This window comes from Homo sapiens, chromosome 3 (genome assembly GCF_000001405.40).
Source record: "Homo sapiens chromosome 3, GRCh38.p14 Primary Assembly".
In the NCBI taxonomy this organism is placed as follows: Eukaryota; Metazoa; Chordata; class Mammalia; order Primates; family Hominidae; genus Homo; species Homo sapiens.
In genome coordinates this window covers 121,772,780-121,795,450 of record NC_000003.12, presented here as the reverse complement: position 1 = coordinate 121,795,450, position 22,671 = coordinate 121,772,780, and the positions used below count along the sequence as shown (strand labels likewise).

The window sequence follows — 22,671 nt, the reverse complement described above, 5'->3', positions numbered from 1 at the left end:
AAATTTGGTGAGGGGATTGATGATCATAGAATCTTACTAGAGTACAGTTGAATTGAAATTTAGGTGATTTTTTTTTAATTTCCTAGTATGTTTCTTGTTATCTTTTCATTTTTTTTCCATACGTTTCTGGGTACCAACACTCCAGTAACCAGATGCACTTTCAAAGCAAAGGATGTAAGACAGGAATCTGATGTGTCAAATATGCAATCCTATCCACTTAATAAGATATTTGGGGAGGGGCCAAGCCTACAAAGGGAGCCAATGATAGTTATATTATTAAACCCTCTAAACCAACAGTTATCATAATTTCGTGTGTATAATTATAACAATAACATGTATGCGTATAAGAGTTTAAGTCTGTTAACCTGATTTTCCTGAATAAATATGGCATGGATGGATATCTTCATTGAATTATGATATAGTTCGGCATTTATTTCAAGTAGACTGAAAAGGAAATACTGAAGACATAGCCCACTTTCTGCAATGACTTAACCAATCCAGATCCTCCAAGGTCACAGAACAAGAAAAAATAACTTAGCTTCTAGGTAATTTATGGTAAAGAAGATCTGTTTCAGAGGTGACTTTTTCATGCAGCCTAACTTAAAGCCAAGCTTTAGTTTGCTAAAATGAAACTGGCATTTTACAGAAGTTAATTCTTTAAAGAAAACTGAAACTATTCTTTTAATAACTGCAGATGCATTTCTCAGTTATAAAAACATTTAAAAATAGCTCTGGGGTTCAAAATACTATGTAGTCACAGAGTTGAAGACATTGAAATCACTCTAGCTAACTGTGTCTCTTAGTGGGTATCCTATTAATTGATGAACGTTTTCTTCAGGGAAGAATTAAAGATGGATTTTAAATATTATTGGGCATGAATATTGTTGGTAGCAAAGAAAAGAATTAATTTTTAAATATATATCAAATGCCTAGTATATGATATATGTACTAGGCATTTAACAGATTCGAGTTTGTATCTCACTTGAGCAGCTTACTGGTTGAGTGAACTTGGACAATCCCCCACCTCTCTCAGCCTCAAACTTCCAATCTATAAAATGAGAATAATAGTTTATACACTTGTATGATCAAGATAATGTAAAATTTGAGATAATACAAAGTTTTTAGCATATTATCTGGCACTTAAAAAATGATAGAAGGAAAAATGCATATGGCACATTTTCTGTCCTTGAAAATTTACAAATCTAGGTAAACAAATAGATGCATTAAATAGGTAGTACTAATGAGAAGCAAGTATTATCCATCTATTATTACTCAAAGTTTATTGCCTATCTTACAAGCTGTTTTTTTTTTAAAAGCATTTCTGTGGTTAGATAAATTTGGGAAATATTGAGTACTTTTTGAGTCACAGTGTATATTTTTCTACCCAAAGCATCTGAGGTGCTCTTGGTATTGCCTCTGTGGTGAATTCAGATAGAGTAGGTATTACTTATGGATTCCACCTGCTATCATCCTTAGTTACCTGTCATCTTAAATTTAAGGGTACCCTTATACATGGATTCAGAGCATTAATGTTTAGTCCCACAAGAGTTCCCAAATTTGCTCATATACTCTCTCTTTCAATATTAAAATCTCTATTTAAAAGTAGCCCAGGATTACAGATTTTTTTCTACTTAGAAGTGTATCTATGGAATCTAATATTCCATTATTTTAAAATAGAAATTCCATTGCTTTCTTTATGTAACCAGAAGAGTTATAAATACTTCCATTAAAAAGATAAGCTGTGAAGCAAAAATTATTTAAGTCTCACATTTTGTGTTTGTTGCCTTTCCAGTATTTTTGCATTTGAGGTTCCAGAATATACTGAAATGCGGTTCTAACCTGTTGGATTCTATTTAATTTTTTAATTTTCAGTTTTCTCCAGTTCAGCACCTTCGCTCTTCTATTAGTTGTAACAGTTCATGCAAATGTCTCTTGCTTCCTTTGTAGCTTGGTTTTTTTTCAAAGGTTATTTCTGTCTTTTTGTGCTCAGGACTTATCTCAGTAATTTCCCCTTCCCATGGTTTTGGGAGAGAGACTGCCCACTGGTCACACTTATGGGTCCAGGTTGATTAGTGTTCTTTAGATTCAGCAAGAGGCATTCTTTTATAGTCACGCCCTTGCTAATGCACTTTCATAGTGGTTTCTTTTTTATTTAGTCATTTCTCGTATTCAGAAACTTTGTCTCTTAAGTACTCTTATTCAGCAAGGTTTTCTGAAGCGGCTAACAGCTGCTCTAGTTATCTTAGAGAAACCTCACAATTTACCTACCTCTATCATAGTGCTGATTTTTAAGTGTTTTAATTACATTTGTTGATTTCATCTTGAAACTGAGCTTCTTAAATGCAGATAGCATCTTTTTTCTCTCTCTCCCTCTGAGGCACAGTGTCTTGGCAGCAGAAAATTTGGTCAACTCCCACTTTAATGGTAAAAATTCAGATTGATTAAATGTAAATCATGGAATTTACTTATTTCAGAATATGACATCTGATCAGTCATTTCATCTTCAGAAGTGTAGTACAGATGCCAGGTGGTCCAGTGCCTACTAATTCTTACAAAGAAACCAGTTGGAAGAATAATTGTTTGATTTTTGAGTGATTAGAGAAACTCTGAACAAAATAACTCGATGTTATTTAATAATAAATGGGGGAATTACATTCAAAATCACTTCAGTTCCTAATAAATGTTTTCAGATATGAAAGTAAAACATATGAATCCAATAAGCACACCTGTTTACAATTTAGTCCCTATTTAAATCACCAAATCTCACTTTTTTTTTTTTTTTTTTTTTTGAGACGGAGTCTTGCTCTGTGGCCCAGGCGGGAGTGCAGTGGCGCAATCTCGGCTCACTGCAAGCTCCGCCTCCCGGGTTCACACCATTCTCCTGCCTCAGCCTCCCGAGTAGCTGGGACTACAGGCGCCCGCCATCACGCCCGGCTAATTTTTTTGTTATTTTTTAGTAGAGACGGGGTTTCACCGTGTTAGCCAGGATGGTCTCGATCTCCTGACCTCGTGATCCACCCGCCTCGGCCTCCCAAAGTGCTGGGATTACAAGCGTGAGCCACCGCGCCCGGCCCAAATCTCACTTTTGTCCTGTCTTTCTGGTTTGTACTTTACTTCCACCTTCATGCTCCATAGTCTTTTCATTTTTGCCATATTTGATAGCCTACATGCCTAAATTGTTTCCCAAACCCAGTTTTCTGACAGATTAAATATTCTAGCAGATGCAATTTTAATGATTACTATGTTTTTCATACTAATAGTGTAAAATGGTATTTAAAATATTGATAATGCAGTATTAGACATTATAATCTATAGCCAATTAGAAGTTAGAAACAGAGGTAGTTTTTTGTCGTTGTTGTTGTTTTGAGGCGGAGTCTCACTCTGTCACTCAGGCTAGAGTGCAGTGGCACGATCTTGGCTCACTGCAACCTCCACCTCCCAGGTTCAAGCTCCTGCCTCAGCCTCCCAAGTAGCTGGGACTACAAGTGCACACCATCACACCCAGCTAATTTTTGTATTTTTAGTAGAAATGGGGTTTCGCTATGTTGGCCAGGCTGGTCTCAAACTCCTGACCTCAGGTGATCCACCCACCTTGGCCTCCCAAAGTGCTGGGATTACAGGCGTGAACCACCGCGCCCGGCCACAGAGGTAGTTTTTTAAAAATCAGTTTAAAAGGAGGCTCTGTTTAGGGCCTGCTCTCTTTTACCCTCTATGAATGGGTAAGAGATAAAACATTATTATCTGCATGCTGTATAACCCAGAAGTTTTGAGGTGATGGAGTTCTGTAGAACAGGCAAGTTGCTATCAGCTATTCTTTGGGAAGGGAGAGGCCCTTACCTACTTCATTTCCAGCTTTCACAAAGAGCAAGAGACACTTAGAACTATTCAACTAGCCCTAGATCTTCTCTGGAATCTTTTGACACACATACACTTTTGAGGTCTTCTCTACCCTTGATAATAGGGATAAGAAAGAAGTTTCAAAACAAATAAATTCTCTACTCTGCCCTAAGTAGAAAGCTAGAGAAAATTTAAGTTGTAATTGATGGAAGAATTTATGAGAAACAACCACAGGCACACAAAATTTTATCAAAATCAAAATAAACTATTTTGAGTTGAAAATTCAGTTGAAAAATCATAATAATCCTAACTATACTATAATGAAGTCTGACTATTAAGAGTACAAAGCTATAGCCAAGGTACCACATTTGTTTACAGTTTAATTCTAAGAATACAGTTTAAAAAAAAGATCTAAGAGAAAATGTTCTTGAGGGAGACACATGTCAAATTAAGTCTATAGCGGTAAACTAAGTAGTTTATTCTGCCTTTCTTCTTATCCTCGTTTTCTTTTTCTGTGGGTGTCTGAAAGCATTTTGAGTATATTTACTGTAAACTGACACTTGTAGTCTCCTTACATAGTGATATTGGAAGCAACAAAAACTAGATGGGAATGGCTAAGGAGAAATTTTGGTGAATAAAAGCAGATAATACAGAAATTATAATTATATAAAATGTTTGTGGTCACATGAAAATTTTCATAACCAGTTATGAAAGTAATGTTCAGTTGTCAATAATTGAGAAATAGGCATAAGAAGAAAATAAAGATCAACTGTAATTACATCATGCAGTAAAAATCACTTGAAATTTTAATGTTTTTTATTTTTTTTTTGTGTAAGTAAATGTAAGTTTTTTGACACAATTTTGATGTCATTCTTCTATATCCTGATTTTCCTTTTACCTGACATTAGATCATCAGTATATTCTCATGTCACTAAATATTCTTCGAACATTTTATGTTTTCATAGTTCATAGAATCCCATCCCATCAGGTGAATGAACCAGTATCTGTTTATCCAACTCGCTGTTGTGAGACAAAGTTTGTTTTCAACTTGTTACTGTTGTAATACTGTGGAGAACATTTTTGAACATAAATTTTTACATATATATCTGATTATTTCCTTAAGAAAATTATTTGTAATAGAATTAATTGGTCATCACTTTTAAGGCTTTTTATTTATATATTTCAAATATTTTTCCAGACTTTTAATGCATATATTCAAATATTTCTACAGAAAGATTGCACAACAGCAGCAGATGACAAGCTATTTTATCATACCTTATTAACACTAGAAATTATCTTAAAATTTTTTCTGTTTACATTTATTTGATTACTAGTGAGGTTATGCATTTTTTCATATGATTTATGAAAATTATGTATAACACACTGTTTCCATCACAGATCCAAACGATCAAAGATGTTGCTGGAGATAAATAGGCAGAAGGAAGAAGAGGACCTCAAATTACAATTGCAACTTCAAAGACAGAGAGCCATGAGACTTTCCCGAGAATTGCAGCTGAGTATGCTCGAAATAGTTCATCCAGGTGAGTGGCAGTATCAACTTTATCAATATAAGAATATTTAGGTTATCTTTTAACAAACCAACTTTTCTAGCTACGTGATGATTTTTTTTTAAATTTGGACTTTTGTCCTTTTTCTCTGTTTTTCAGATAAACTTTATTAGATCTTCTGAGTTCAAAAACGGTTACTGTTTTTTCAATTCAGACCTATTAGTTGACGATGAACAATCTCCCCACCAGTTTTTTTTCTTATCCTTCAGATAATTTAGTGAAACATAAAAATGTATGCATAAAGATAGCTGTTAGAGACACAAAGATACTTCTTGAACTGAAACAAGGAGTTGGAATATTATTACATTCTGCCATCAGAGTTTAACTCATTCCTTAGTACAAATGTTGTGACATCTTCTTGCCGCCTTTGACAGACTAAGCTGAAATTAATAAGAAGATGTGGTCTGAGAGGTCTTAGTGGTTTCAATATTATCTTCAAATTATTTTACCTGTCTTCTTGTTATTCAATCCAGGGTCCTTCACTAGCCCTTTATTTCACTTCATCTCCATTAAATATAGATGTTTTCTAGGGTTCCATCCTCACCTTATTCCTGTCATTTTTCTCTTCCTGGGGTATCCATCCATAACTGCAGCTCAACTCTCAGCTGAGTGCTGAGCAGTCTCAAATCTGGTCTCCATCTTCACCTACTCTCCTAAGCTCTTAGAGCAAAATTGCCCAAGATAAATTTTTACAAAAATGAAAGGTTGTATATCTGTACCATCCAGTAGGGTAGCCAGTGGCTAGAGATGGCTATTGAGTATTTGAAATATGGCTAGTGCACTGAAGGACCTGAATTTTAATTTTACTTTATTTTAACCCAAGTAGCCACTTGTGGATAGTTTCTACTCTATTGAATAACACACCTCTGTAGCCAACTGCCTATTGGATCCAGCTTTACCTGGATATCCACAGGCATCCCAAACACCAAAGTCATTATCTTACCCCTCAGATTTCCTTTTCCTTTATTCCCCATCTCAGGTAATGGCACCAACAACTTACTCAGTTTCCCATTTGAGACATCCTAGAGTCCTTTCCCTCTTTTACCTCCGTATCCAGTTGATCATTAAATTATATCAGTTTCTTATACTTCCCCAAATACGCCCCCCTTTTTATTAACAATTCTACTGCCTTATTCTGTCACATATATACTGTGAACCCTGGGCTGTATGCTGAGCAACTCCAAGAAAGCAAAAAGAAAGTCATCTGTATAACTGACTGAGTGACTTAAGAGAAATTTGGAAGCATGTAGAGTAGAGAACACATACACACATTTTGCCCTTTCCCTCTGGTGGTACTGAATGACTTCTTAATCATGTACTTAGGAATTTTTTTTTTTTTTTTTAGTGTTCTTTGTATTGGATTTTCAGCCATTTTCTTATTACTCTACCACAAAAATATTATATGAGTTCTTTCTGTGAAGAAGCTGCATAATCTGGGAAAGCTTTGTTTCTAAAATCTTAGAACCATGGTAAAATAGTAGAATTGGGAAAATTAGTGAACAATATTGACAAAAATAAAAAGAATGCAAGATTATTATTATCATTGTCCTGATTCCAGAACTTAAGAAAGCATGGCAGTGAGTATGTTGTAATAGTGTCTATCATCTTTTTAGGTCAGGTGGAGAAACACTATCGGGAAATGGAAGAGAAATCAGCACTGATTATCCAGAAACATTGGAGAGGGTACAGGGAAAGGAAAAATTTTCACCAACAGAGGCAGTCTCTCATAGAGTATAAAGCAGCTGTCACACTTCAAAGAGCAGTGAGTCTAATGTAGTGAAAAGAGCTCTGAATCAAGAGGCAAAAACATGAGTTCAAAACTGACTTTGCTAATTACCTGTTGTAAAGCCTTGGTCAAGACACTTAGTTTTCTTGAGCCTTAGTTTTTTCTTTTGTAAAAGAAAAACCCCTTACCTCTGGCCGAGCTGATTTAGACACTCAGTCCTTAGTACTGCCTTAGAACCTTGTACATCATTTACTATACTGCAATGTTGTTTTGTTAATTATTTCCCTTCTTACTTGGGCTGTGAGTTCTTCAAGAATAAGGAGCTAAGTCTTATTGTTGTCAGCTCATCACATGTGCTTGATGTATGAATAGATGTTTACCCTTACCCTTTTCACTCAGTTGTTATGTGGATCAGATACCCTAATTTATGGGAATGTATTTTGTAAATTACAAAGTTCTGTGCAAGTGCAGCATGTGATATTTGATTTTTTTAATGCACAGATGAGATATTAGGTATATTTAGATCATTATAACATTTTAATTGTAGAATTGTATTTTTTTTTTTTTTTTGAGACGGATTCTTGCTCTGTTGCAAGGCTGAAGTGCAATGGCACGATCTTGGCTCACTACAACCTCCGCCTCCCAGGTTCAAGCAATTCTCCTGCCTCAGCCTCCCGAGTAGCTGGGACTACAGGCATGCACCACCACACCCATCTAATGTTTGTATTTTTAATAGAGACGGGGTTTCACCATATTGGCCAGGATGGTCTCGATCTCTAGACCTCGTGATCTGCCCACCTCGGCCTCCGAAAGTGCTGGGATTACAGGCGTGAGCCACCGCTCCCGGCCTCTTATTCTTAAATAGCAATCTTTCTGTGATCTCTCTAGAGCATAGTACTATTTTGTTGCCTTGGAAAAGCATAGTACGAGGTGGTTTTTTAAATTTAATGACCAGTTTTCCTAACATCCCGTTGTTCTCTTATACATGGTTAACTTTCATATTAGGATTTCAGGTCCTATAGCATTTAGCTTAACAATCCTTACTGAATTTTTAGGTCAATTTCAGTTTTCTACTGTGACAGATTTTGAACAGTCTCTGTGATTAACTTTTTACAAAGTTTTTTTTTTTTAATCATCCAAAAAACATTGTAGAATAAATACTAGAGAAACAGGAAGAGATGCCTGTCTCCTACTCCTTCTTCAGGCTCTTCTGGGGATCTCAGATTGTGTCTGCAACAAACAATCCTGCACCATCACTGTATCACACGTACTCCTGATTTTTACTTTCTGCTAAACAAAGCCATCTAAGGGGTTAACCAGTTGATATTAGGGTTGGAGACACTTCCTTTGGAGGAAGCTTTGGCTTCTTTCTAATACTTTTACCTCATAAATACCTCCTTTTTAAAGTCTTCCCTGTCATAGAAATAGCTGGGTCCTTATTAGGTTGACTTACTACCTTGCCTGATTTAGATGACCCCAATACTTTGTAAAAGTATCCTGTACTGTAAAGTGAAATATCCTGGTTTGCCTACCATTTCTTAGAGAAAAAAGTAGGGGTCATCATAGGAACATATCTGAAGGCTACGAAGGCAAAGTTGTTTTGGCTTTTATACTTTCCATTGGCACGAAAGGAAGATTAGTCACATTTGCCTCATATCTCCTCTAGCTAAGAAAAGGAATGAGTCTCTGTTTAAGAGCAAAAAGGGATGGGTCAAGGTCATGTTTATAGTCTTTGCATCTCATTAATAAAAATAAGATGAAGTCAAAGCAAAGTTAGCCAAAATGGAAAAGGAAATAAGAGGATTACTTTTTTTTTTTTTTAAGAGACATGGTCTCACTCTGTCACCCAGGCTGGAGTACAGTGGTGTGTTCATAGTTCATCACAGCCTTGAACTCCTGGGCTAAAGTGATCCTCCTGCCTCAGCCTCCCTAAGTGCTGAGATTATAGGCATGAACCACCATGCCTGGCCAAGAATTACTTTCAAAGAAGGAAAAGAGAAAGAAAAATGGGAAAGTACACTGAGAAAATAAATAGAAAAATAGAGAAAATTAAAACAAGGCAATAGTCAATAAAGGGTACATTTTGCCATATTTTTAAAGCATCCTTTTCTTTTCTTTTCTTTTCTTTTCTTTTCTTTTCTTTTCTTTTGAGACAGAATCTCTCTCTGTCTCCCAGGCTGGAGTGCAGTGGTGCAATCATACCCCACTGGAGCCTTTATCTGCGAGGCTCAAGAGATCCTCCCACCTCAGCCTCCACAGTAGCTGGGACTACAGGCTTGCACCACCAGGCCCAGCTAATTTTTTTTTTTTTTCAGTAGAGACTAAGTCTCACTGTGTTCTCCAGGGTGGTCTCCAACTCCTGAGCTCAAGTGATCCTCCCACCTCACCCTCCCAAAGTGCTGGAATTACAGATGTGAGCCACTGCGCCTAGCCTAAAAGTATCCTTTTCTAAGACACACTAGAGATCTGCACTGTTCAATAAAATAATCGTTAAGCATACGTAGCTGGCTATGGAGAACTTGACATGTAGCTAGTCCAAATTGAAATGTGTTGTAAGTGTAAAATACCCACCAGATTTTGAAAATGTAGCATGAAAAAGAAGTGTAAAGTATCTCAGTAATACTTTTTTATATTGATTACATGATGAAATACTAATATTTTGTGTATATTGTTGTATGTTTTATATAACTGAGTAAATATTGTTTCGCCCATTTTTTATTTTCTTAATGTGACTACTAGAAAATTTAAAATTACATATATGACTCACCTTACATTTCTGTTGGCACTGCAACTGATCTTGCTAAGAAAAAAATGGGAAATAATTCATTAGCCTCATTGAAAGTAATATACCAGCCTGGGCAATGTCGCAAAACCTCATCTCTACTAAAAATACAAAAATTAGCCAGGCGTGGTAGCATGTACTGGTAGTCCCAGCTACTCTGAAAACTGAAGTGGGGGAAAATCACCTGAGCCTGGGAAGTTGAGGCTGCAGTGAGCTGTGATCACACCACTGCACTCTAGCCTGGGTAATAGGAATAAGACCCTGCCTCAAAAAAAAAAAAAAGTAATATAAAGGAGTAGGAATATCCTTTCAATGAGTGTGTCCCTCAGGAAGAACTGGTTATTAGTGTCCTTGGCAGGAAAAGAAAGGCCAGAACAGTTATCCACCTTCTGTTTCTCTCTTACTTGATGCAAAAACAGAGGCATTGTTTCTCCAGGAGCTAAAAATTGGGGAAATTTGCTAAAAGAGAAAAATCAAGGAAAGGGGAGAATAGAAAGAAAGAAGAGAGTCTCAACAGAAGGATGCAAGCACAGTTGAAAACTCAAGTACCATACTGAAAACAAGGCCGGGCACGGTGACTCATGCTTGTAAATCCCAGCACTTTGGGAGGCTGAGGCGGGAGGATCACTTGAGCTCAGGAGTTTGAGACCAGCTTAGGACACATAATAAGACTCTTTCTCTATAAAAAATTAGCTGGGCTTGGTGGCACATACCTGTAGTCCCGGCTACTCGGGAGGCTGAAGTGGGAAGATCACTTGAGCCCAGGAGGTTGAGGCTGCAGTGAGCCATAATCAAGCCACTGCACTCCAGCCAGGGTGACAGAGTGAGACCCTGTCTTAGAAAAAATACCAAAAAGTAAGAGTACTAGGGAAATTTTCTAAACCGCTTCTTAGTGCCCACTCTTAAATATCAGCTGAAAGATAAGTATCACTGAATATCTAAGGAAAGCCAAAGACAAAACAAATGGAATAAAACTATTTGATAGAATACAAACATTGCAGGTATAAGGAAAAAATTTTTTTAATCTGTTATTAATATCCTCAGAGAGATAAGGAAAGGTAATATATGAAACAAAACCAAGATACCGTATAAAATGGAGCACACAGAATAAAATTTGACAGGGAAAACTGAAAGACTAATAAAAGGACTGTGGGGGAAAAGTTAAAGAAATCTCACAGAAAGCAAGGAAAAAAGATTTTGCCAGTGGCACACACCTGTAATCCCAGCTACTCAGAAGGCTAAGGCAGCAGGATGGCATTAGCTCAGGAGTTCTAGGCCAGCCTGGTCAACATATGAAATATCATTAGAAAAAGAAAAAAAGGTAGAATCTTTAATTAAAAAAAAAAAAGATGGATAGAAAAGACTACCAGTCTAGGAGGTCAAACAGCCAAACATTTGAAATCAAGAACAAGAAAAAACAGAAGATGGAAAATCAAATAACTTAAGATTTCCAAGAAGTGAATGTCATGAATTTTAGATTAAGGGGACCAATTAAGTGTCCAATACAGTGACAGAAACACTTCTACATTTGTTTCATAATACTGTAAGATATACTAGGAACAAAAGGACTTCTTGACAGGAACATTGGAAGCTAAAAAGTATTGAAGTAAGATTGTCACATATTTGAAGGAAAATGATTTCCAACTAGAATTCTATACCCAACCAAATTATTAATTAAAGATAAGGACAGACCAAAGACATTTTTAGATAAGAGGGAATAACCTGAGAAGGAAGGCAACATGGAATCCAAGAAACACAAGGGAAAGATGAAAAGTAGTCACCGAGATGATGGTGAATGGAGACCACAGGATGACAGCTATGCCCAAGGTATAGAGAGCAGTCAATCCAAATTACAGCAGGTCAGGAAGCTCGAGAAAATGTGTCCAAGAAAATGAATTTGATAGAATGGCTGCTGTATTTTAATGTGTAGAAAATTAGGGCAGAGTTTGTAAAATATAATCGGTAGTATGGAAAACAAAGCATGGGAGAAAAGAGAATTAATAATTCCAGAGAAAATAAAAATGTGCAAGGAAGGAAAAGTAATTATAGTGTACTATATTGTTCAAAAGTGAATAGCCTTTATGTGGTCATAATTTTGTAAACATTGAACATTAATTTAACTAAAATTATGATGTAATAATATAGGATGGATGGGGAGTAGAAACAGTGAAAGATAGCTAAATTCATACCTTTCATACAAGAAAATCAATAGATGATACCTATATCTGAAAAAAAAATCACAGAAAAATAGATGGAGCTAAATATCAAAAGAATAACCTGAATTAAATTGTTGCCCTTGAATCAGGGGACAGGGTAAGTGGGTAACTCTAGTAAGAATTCTAGTAATTCTTATGAAACTGACAAATTAAACAATCGCATTCTAGTAATTCTTACAAAACTGACACATTAAACAATAGAGTTACATCAGCAAACTTTTCAGGGAAGGGCTATATAATAAAATATTTTAGGCTTTGCAGGTCATGTAGTGTGTCACATGTATTCAGTTATAGCACAAAAGCAGCCGATGAGCATGGCTGTCTTCCAATAAAATGTTATTTGTAGAGGTGGGACGCGATGGCTCACGTCTGTAATCCCAGCTCTTTGGGAGGCCGAGGCGGGCAGATCACAAGGTCAAGAGATCACAGCCTGGCTAACATGGTGAAATCCCATCTCTACTAAAAAATACAAAAATTAGCTGGGCGTGGTGGTGCATGCCTGTAATCCCAGCTACTCAGGGGGCTGAGGCAGGGGAATTGCTTGAACCTGGCGGGGTGGAGGTTGCAGTGAGCTGGGATTGTGCCACTGCACTCCAGCCTGGTGACAGAGCGAGACTCCATCTCAAAAAAAAAAAAATGTTATTTGTAAACATTAGATTTTGAATCTCATATAATTTTACATGCCACTAAATATTCTTTTATAATTTTACGTGCCACTAAATATTCTTTTCCCTTTAAATTAACAATGTAAAATGAAAAACAAAACAAAACAAAAAAAACAAAAACAAAATCACACACACATTTTTAGCTCTCAAGCCCTATGAAAACAGGCAGCAGGCTGGATTTGGCCTGTGGGCCATGATTTGCTGACCCCTGCTTTAAACAATGTGAACATGTAACTTTGATGAAAATAAAAACTACGAAGACATGAGCAGAGTGAAAACAATTGGAAAGAATAATTGCAAATTTGTCCCATATAATGCCTATTACAAAATTTCTTTTTACCAGAGTCCATTCTGAAGGACATGAGAAGGAATTCAGACAGAAATATACTGTCTCCTTGGTGTTTACAATCATCTAGGCTGTGTAGAATTAAGAACCCTTTTTTCTATAGACATAGAACCTGTCCTCTAGAGATCAAGTGCCTTGCCCAGAATCATAGTTTATAAGGGACTAGAATTGAGACTAGAATCTATTGCTTTTTTTTCCTCTTCATTGCTTACTGCACAAATAATACGTGACTATATCCTTGTAAAAAGCACTACAGAAGACTGTATATTTTAAAAGTCACTGTTCTCCTGCATTTTGTCACAGTCCCATTCCCCTCCTTATACACACTCAGAGTTAATCATTATTGCAATGTGATCACTACCATATGTTGTAGTGAGAAAATAGTTCTATTAGTTAGGGGAGAAAAATCACAAACCTTCAATTTTTTTTCTTCCAGGCGCTTAAATTCCTAGCGAAGTGCCGTAAGAAAAAGAAACTATTTGCTCCTTGGCGAGGACTCCAAGAACTCACTGATGCACGCCGAGTTGAACTGAAGAAACGAGTGGATGACTATGTCAGAAGACATTTGGTATGAAGCTTCTGTACCATATCAGTATTACATTATTCCAATGCATGATATTGATAACTGTACACACACACACATATATTGTGTGTGTGTGTGTGTGTGTGTGTGTGTGTACATTTATTGCTGGTATAAGGTAATGCATTGGCTTTACCATAGAAGTAATGGTATATCTTTTTCTAGTTACATAGCCATAGAGGTATAGTCAGTAGTGAAGGAGACTCTGCTTTAAATCAGTTTTTTCCCATACTATGTCAATAAGACTTGTTCATTGCTTCTTTTGCAATAGTACTGTAAAACTTGGACTATTTTGAACCTTCCAGAAAGAGTATATGTAACTGTCAATCAATGATTATTCATTCTTACATTTGTTGGACTACTAATGTACCTCCAGAAGCCAATAAGATATAGCATTTGACTATTTGCCTCTTATGATCTTACCACAATAATACTGCTAGCACCTTTATCCCAATAGAAATGTCCATATCTTTGACTTTCTATGACCACAGGATGGCAGGTCACCTGTTATTCTCTTCTCCCACCTGAATTCTTGACCATCTACTCCTATGTGTCTTCAAAGGTCATTTCCCTTTCTGCCTTGGGAATAACTCACCACTCCTGTCATTAATTTTAATCACCTGCACCTTTGCTGATTACCTCTACTTTCTTTTCTCTTACTGCTTCTCCCGTGCTTTCACACTTATGTAATTTTATGGAGAAAGTTAGCAGTTTATACATTTCAATCTATCAGAATTATTCCCTCATTTGAACCAAGCACTCATAGTGTATCTTGGTACTTTTCACGAGTTTTGTTGTGATTGTGGTGGTGGTGTTTGTGCCTGAGTTCATTCTCTCTCTCTCTCTCACACACACACACACACACATACACACACACAGATACACACACAGACTTCTAAAATTTGAAGGTTCTGGATAACTGATGTTAGAGGCTTGATGTGATATTTAGGGAGTCCTATCATTCACCCTTTCATTCCTCCAGAGCATCCAAAATGAAAGGACTTTTTGTAACAAACAAACAAAAACTACTGTACAAATGGAAATGAAGTACAAATATATTAGTAGCTGAGCATGTATCTGGTAACCACTGGAACACAGCAATGGTAAAACCTGAATTGGATAGCAAAGCTTAGTCTAGGAAGTGTAAATAAGCCCTCTTACTTTCTGCTTCTGCTAATCTGGATTTAGGGACCTAAAACCTAATGGAGTCTGTGGAGAAAGAGAGGAGGAAAAGACTACCCTTCTATATCAGGCCCTCTGTGATTACCATAAAGAGGTAGACAATGGAAAAAGTTCTGACATTAGTTTCTGGCCAAGATGGAGTAACAGGGACTAGATTTACTTCCTGCCTGAAACAACCAGAAAAAGAAACAAGCAGATAAAATGCATGAAATCGTTTTCAAGACCCTGGACATCAGACAACAAAGAACAATAATCTCTGAGAGGGAACGAAGCAAGCCCTATAATTACCCCAGCTTACTGTCTTGAAAGAGTTTCTAGGCCATAGCTCAAGGAAGAGAACAGAGAAGGGCTCTTTAGAATCCTTGAGTTAAGGAGATGGCACTGAGAGTCAGGTGACACCAAGGGAACTAGACTTCATAGAACAGAGTACCTGAGTAAAGAGAGCTGCAAAGAGAGAGAACCCCAGATATCTACAGAATCTACCCCTTGAGTATTCTCCAGAATACTAATCAGCATGTACATGTGAGGAAATTATCCAAAGCCAAATTATCGAGTCATCTGAAAAGGTAAGACGGAAGTGTGTCTGGAACTCACATAGGTCCAGGAATAGTATCTGTTCCCATCAAATATGCTGGAGAAACTCATAATTCACAGGGTATTGTGAAGAGTACTCAGGAAGACCTTCCCTTAATAGTAGATTATGATTAGCCTAGACGGCTCCATTCTGCCAAACAAATTATAAAATCAAGAGTCAAAAAAAGATTAAAATGTTTTCATGTAATTTAACAGCATCCCAAAAAAAGACTCAAAATTTTAAGAAATATCAAAATATCCAGCACCCAACAAGGTAAAAGTCACAATGTCTAGCAGCTAATCAAATATTAAAGGCATGCATGGAAGTAGGAAAACAGGACCCATAATGAGGAGGATATTCAGTCAAACCAACCCAGAAATTACATAGATGTTAAAATTGGCAGAGAAGGGCATTAAAACAGTCATTATAACTGTATTTTATATGTTCAAAAAGTCAAGTAGAAAGATGAAAAATGTAAAAAAAAATACCTGAATCAAACTCCTAGAGATAAAAACTTCAAAGTATGGTGTGAAAAATATACTTGATCAAAATAATAGCAGATTAGACTTTGCTGGATGGAAGATTAATATAGGTGAAGCCATACTAGTAGATACTGTACAAAATGAGTCACAGAGAGGGGAAAAAAGAGAAAAATATTTGAAAAGACCATTACTGAGCTGTGGGACTGTAAGTGGCCCAGTAAATGAAAACTTGGAATCCCTGAAGGAGATGTAGAGAAAAATAATGGCTGAAAACTTTCCAAACTAAAAATGATAAGCCCATACCCAAACCAGTTAAGGTACATGGAAAAAACTGTGCCAAGGAATATCATAATCAAAATTGTCAAACCAGTGATACAGTGAAAATCTTAAAAACAAAAAAAAATTTTTATATATATACTTTTTATTATACTTTAAGTTCTAGGGTACATGTGCACAAGGTGCATGTTTGTTACATATGTATACATGTGCCATGTTGGTGTGTAAAAAAATTTTTAAATGTTACGTAAAGACAAAGATTACATTGCTCAGTAGGAACAGTGCAAGCAAGAAGATACCTTTTTTTTTTTTTTTTTGAGACAGAGTTTCGCTGTTGTCACCCAGGCTGGAGTGCAGTGGCGCAATCTCTGCAACTGCCGCCTCCCGGGTTCAAGTGATTCTCCTGCCTCAGCCTCCCAGGTAGCTAGGATTACAGGCGCCTGCCATCATGCTCAGCTAATTTTTGTACTTTTGGTAGAGATGGGGTTTCACCATGTTTACCAGGCTGGTCTCGAACTCCTGACCCCAGGTGATCCACCCATCTCAGCCTCCCAAAGTGCTGGGATTATAGGCATGAGCCACCACCCCCGGCGAAAGATATCTTGCTTTAAAGTACTGAAAGGAAAAAAAGTTGTCAACCTAGAATTCTGTACCTGGCAAAAAAATATTGTTAAAAAAAAAAAGACTTTTTCAGACATACAAAAGCTGAAAGACTTGATCACCAGTACACTTGCACTACCAAAAATGTTAAATCCTTAAAGTTGTAAAGGATTTAACATTGCAGAAATGTTAAATTCTTTTTATTTGTGTAGATTGAGGGAGTAAAAATGCACATTTACATGCCTATATTGCAAGCTCCTGCCCAGCAAAATAAACAGTCAACAGTAAACAGCCTATAGAATGGGAAAAAATAGTTGCAAGCTATACATCTAACAAAGGGCTAATATCTAGAATCTACAAGGAACTCAACTCAAGAAGAAAAAGACAACCCCATTAAAAAGTGGGCAAAGCCAGATGCTGTGGCTCATGCCTGTAATCTTAGCACTTTGGAATGCCAAGGCCAGGAGGATTGCTTGAGCCCAGGAATTCGAGACCAGCTTAGGCAACATGGTGAGACCTGGTCTCTACAAAAAATTTAAAAATTAGCCAGGCATGTTGATGCCTGTCTGTGGTCCCAGCTACTTGGGAGACTGAGGTGGGGCGATCACTTGAGCTCAGGAGGTTGAGGCTGCAGTGAGGCATGTTCATGCTACTGCACTCCAGCCTGTGTGGCCGAGTGAGACCCTGTCTCAAAAAAAAAAAAAAAGTGGGCAAGAAACATGAACAGACGTATATACAAGTGGTCAACAAACAATGAAAAATGCTCAATATCACTAATCATCAGAGAAATGTAACTTAAAATCATAATAAATAATCATATTATACCAGTTAAAATGGCTATTACTACAAAGTCAAAAACAACAGATGTTAGCAAGGATGTGGAGAAAAGGGAACACTTACACACTGTTGGTGTGAATGTAAATCAGAAATGTTAAGTTCTTTAAGGTGTAAAAGACTTAACATTTCTGTTTAAAATGATGCCAGGAAAAGATACCAGAGAGAAATCTGGCTCTACATAAAGAAATTAAGAGCACTGGAAATGGTAATTACAGCCATGTGTCACATAATGAATTTTCAGTCAGTGTTGGACCATATATACAACAGTGGTCACATAATATTGTAATGGTATATTTTTACTGGACATTTTCTACATTTATATATGTTTACATATACAAAAACTTACCATTGCATTAAAATTGCTTACTGTATTCAATACAATAACATGCTGTACAGATTTGTAGCCTAAGAGCAATAGGGTATACCACATAGCCTACATATGTAGTAGTCTATACCATTTAAGTTTCTGTAGGTACACTCAATGACATGTGCACAGTGCCAGAATCACCTAACAGCACATGTATAGCAAACTAATTATTGACAGAGATATACAGTTAATGCAGAAAAACTGGAGCAATTGGCTATTCACATGTCAAACAATTGAACTTGAAGCCATACTTCACTTCATATGCAAAATGTAACTCAAAGTAGATCATAGGCCTAAATGCAAAACCTAAAACTATAAAACTTCTAAAAGGAAACAATGGAGAAATATTGTGACCTTTCTTGAATACAATACCAGAAGCATGATTCAAAAAGGAAAATTTGATATATTGGCTTTATTGAAATTTAAAACTTCTCTTCATAAGACACCATTAACAGAATTAAAGAAACAAGGCACAGATTGGGAGAATATCATTGCCAAGCATATATTTGATAAAGGTCCTATATCCATAATATAGAAAGAACTCTCAAAACTAAACAGTAAGAAAACATATGAACTAGTTGTTTTGTTTTTTAAATGGACAAAAGCTTTGAACAGATACTTCACCAAAAGATAGATGACAAATAAACACATGAAAAATGCATCATTAATCACTAAGGAAAATGCACATTAAAACCACAATAAGGGCCCAGCACAGTGGCTCATACCTGTAATCCTAACACTTTGGGAGGCCAAGGTGGGAGGATTGCTTCAGCCCAACAGTTTGAGACCAGCCTGGGTAACATATTGAGACCCTCTCTCTAATTTTTTTAATAAAAATTTAAAATTTTTCAAAAAATAACCGACAGTAAGATACTTCATACCTGTTGGAATTTTAAAAATGGAACATGCCAAAGGTTAGCAAGCATGTGGCAGAGTCACCACTTAGGGGAATGTAAAAGAGTACAACTACTTTGGAAGACAGTTCAACAGTTTCTTTAAAAATTAAACATACATCTATCATATGATTCAGCCATTCTACTCCTAGATATTTACCCCAGAGAAAAAGAAATATATGTCCATATAGACACTTGTACATGAATGCTCATGGCCAAAAACTAGAACCATGGAGTACCATTCAGCATGTATAAAGGAATAAATTGATACTCTCAACAACATGGATGAATCTCTGGCCGGGCATGGTGACTCACGCCCATAATTCCAGCACTTTGAGAGGCCAAGGCAGGTGGATCGCTTGAGCCCAGGAGTTCGAGGCTGCAGTGAGCAGTGATGGCACCACTGCACTCTATCCTGGGTGAGAGAGTGAGACCCTGTCTTCAAAAAAAATTTTTAAAGAAAAAGAAAAAAAAACGTGGATGAATCTCAAAATAATTATGCTAAATGAAAGAAGCCAGACAGAGTAGAATACATTCTTTATGATTCCCTTTATGTAAATTCTAAAAATATAAACCAATCTATAGTAACATTAAATAGATAAGTAGTTGCTTGGGATAAGTAGTTGGTGGATGGGTAGGATGAGGATAAGGGTTTACAAAAGGAAACAAGGAAACGTAGTGATGAACTAGGTATGTGTATGTCAAAGCTTAGCAAATTGTACCCTTTCAATATTTGTTGTTTAGTGTATGTTATTTTTACGTCAATAAAGCTATATTTTTTAAAAGGTTGTTTTAACCTAAATGCTTAAAAAAAAATTTAGGGGTCCTGAGATTTTAAAAATAATCAGCCTGGCCACCAATAAAACATGGCCAATGAATCTCTTCTTTTTAATTATTATTATACTTTAAGTTCTGGGATACATGTGCAGAACATGCAGGTTTGTTACATAGGTATACATGTGCCATGGGTGGTTTGGGACCCATCAACCTGTCATCTACATTAGGTTTTTCTCCTAATGCTATCCCTCCCTTAGTTCCCTACCCCACGATAGGCCCCAGTGTGTGATGTTCCCCTCCCTGCGTCCACGTGTTCTCATTGTTCAACTTCCACTTATGGTTGAGAACATGCAGTGTTTGGTTTTCTGTTCTTGTATTAGTTTGCTGAGAATGATGGTTTCCAGCTTCATCCATGTCTCTGCAAAGGACATAAACTCATCCTTTTTTATGGCTGCATAGTATTCCATGGTGTATATGGCCAGTGAATCTCTTAAGTGCTGATCAATCATATTAGCAACTCCTCCCTTAGCCAAACACCAGAACCGAGTTGGAGAGAGGGGCAGAACCACAACTGAAAGATTTTTCCTGTGAGCAGAGGTAGAATGAAGACAGACAGAAGCATGCCTCCTCTCCAACAAACAGATAATCAGTTCCTAAGCTCTGTAGAGAGGACTATATTGCTTTTAACAGTTTTAATCATTTACAAATTTAATCACCTTTATAAAAATTACATACCCAAGCCCCACACACCCCAAGAAATTCTGATACAGTAAGTTTTGTGTGGCCTCATGTATCTGTATTTTTAAAATTTATTTATTTTCAGGGTGGTAAAATAGATAAAATATAAAAATTACCATTTTAACTATGTTTAAATGTAGTTTGGTAGCATTAAGTACATTCATATTGTTTGTGCAAGCTTCACCACCATCCCATCTTCAGAACTTTTTTCATCTTGCAGAATGGAAACTCTGCATCCTTTAAACACTAACTCACCATTCCCTCACTACCCAGCTTCTGGCAACCACCATTCTACTTTCTGTCTCCATGAATTTGCCTACTCTAAGTACCTCATGAGTAGAATCATACTTCATTGTTTCAGTTAGTATAATGTCTTCAAGGTTCATGTTTTAGCATATGTCGGAATTTTCTACTTTTAAAGGCTGAATAATATTCCATTATATATACTACATTTTGTTTATCCAAGGAACACTTGGGTTCCGTCCACCCTTTGGCTATTGTGAATAATGCTACTGTGACCATGTGTGTACAAATATCTGTGTGTGTACTTGCTTTCAATTCTTTTGGGTGAGTATCCGAAATGGAAATGCTAGATTGTGTGCTAATTCTTTTTAAAAATTTTTTTGAGGAACTGCCATACTGTTTTCCATAGTGGCTGTACCATTTTACATTTCTACCAGTCACACACAGGGTTCCAGTTTCTGTACATCCTTGTCAACATTAGTTATTTTTGTTGTAGTCATTGTTTTTGATAGCAGCTAATAGATATGAAGTTGTATCTTATGGTTTGAACTTGCACTTTCCTAATTAGTGATTTTGAGCATCTTTTCATGTGTTTATTGGCCGTTTCTTTATCTTTTTTGCAGAAATGTCTGTTCAAGTCATTTGTTTATTTTTTTTTCCACAGGGTTATATTTTGTTCATTTTTTAATCAGGTTGTTTTTTGTAGAGTTTTGGGAGTTCTTTATATATTATGGAGATTAATCCCTTAGATGTATGATTTGCAAACATTTTATGCCATTCTGTGGACTGCCAGTTAACTTTCTTGATAGTGATCTTTGGTGCACCAAGGTTTTTAATTTTGATGAAGTTCATTTTGTCTGGTTTTTGTTGTTGTTTTTTTTTTCCTGTGCTTTGGTGTCGTATGAAGAAATCATCACCAAAACCAATGTCATGATGCTTTTCCTGTGTTTTCTTCTAGGAGTTTTACAGTTTTAGCTCTTATGTTTAGGTCTTTGATCTCTCTTTTTCTAATACACTATATGTAGTTCTGATGCATGCTCCTGTTTTTCTTTTTTTAAAGTGCTTCTTTAGCCATACTCTAGTGCAGCTGTTTAAGATCCTGTGGCTGAGAAGTAAGGTTTTAGTGGAACAGGGTCATATCCAGGATAGGAACAGGAATATTTGAGAAAGCTGTGGTGTCAGGTTCTTTATCACCTCCAAAGTTAAGATTATTTCATCCTTGCCCAAACTAATCAGTTAAGTTCCCCTTAAATTAGCTGACTAGCCAAAAGAACATGGTCCTTTGGATGATTTTGTCCCTTGTTCTGTGGATCCAGAAGCAGTTACAACATATGGCTTGGATAAGTTTGGGAGTGAGAATGGGATAAGAAGTAAAACAAAGAAACAAAGGGATTGGCGTTGTTACACCTGTTATAGGCCAGTGTCTTTTTTTTTTTTTTTTTTTTTTTAAGGCAGAGTCTTGCTCTGTTGCCTAGGCTGGAGAGCAATGGCGCAATCTCGGCTCATTGCAAACTCTGCCTCCCAGGTTCAAGTAATTCTCCCGCCTCAGCCTCCCGAGTAGCTGGGATTACAGGCACCCACCATCATGCCTGGCTAATTTTTGTAGAGATGGGTTTTCACCGTGTTGGCCAGGCTGGTCTTGAACTCCTGACCTCAGGTGATCCACCCACCTTGGCCTCCCAGAGTGCTGGGATTACAGGCGTGAGCCACCACACCCGGCCCCAGGCCAGTGTCTTTACGAAACCATTTGTAATTTTTCACTGTGATCTCTCAAGCTTATCTCTTCTCCCATAATTCCACAGTGTCTGAGAAAGTAAAGTATAGGCACATACAAAAAAGAAAGACAAAAAACTTCTCCACCATTATTTTTATCTAAAACTTTTAAGAGACTAATTAATACTTGCATAAGAGTACAAGATAGACATCAATCATAAGATTCAATTGATAAAATGAGAGACAGCTAAGCAGTCTAAAACCTCTGC

General features: G+C 36.7%; 1 protein-coding gene across 10 annotated transcripts in view, besides 1 other annotated feature; it reads left to right on the top strand.

Moving 5' to 3' along the window:
* Positions 1–22,671, top strand: part of IQCB1 (IQ motif containing B1) — a 65,300-nt gene that overhangs the window by 39,610 nt on the left and 3,019 nt on the right. For 8 of the 10 annotated variants that reach the window (NR_134968.2, NM_001319107.2, XM_017007539.3 and 5 more), the window contains 3 exons: positions 5,236–5,378; positions 7,019–7,167; positions 13,577–13,708. Coding sequence is in view for 9 of the 10 variants with exons in the window: in NM_001319107.2 (NP_001306036.1) it covers positions 5,236–5,378; positions 7,019–7,167; positions 13,577–13,708 (424 nt within the window). In the remaining variant the exon portion in view is untranslated. Of the gene's footprint in view, positions 1–5,235; positions 5,379–7,018; positions 7,168–13,576; positions 13,709–22,671 lie in introns of those variants that run through there. The other 2 variants (XM_047449252.1, XM_047449253.1) reach the window with 2 other exon arrangements.
* Positions 445–494: an enhancer, noted in NCBI's record as "active region_20349". NCBI's record gives its function as "activates an Ori minimal core promoter by ATAC-STARR-seq in GM12878 lymphoblastoid cells {active_cell/tissue: GM12878}" and the evidence as "EXISTENCE:reporter gene assay evidence [ECO:0000049][PMID:35858748]".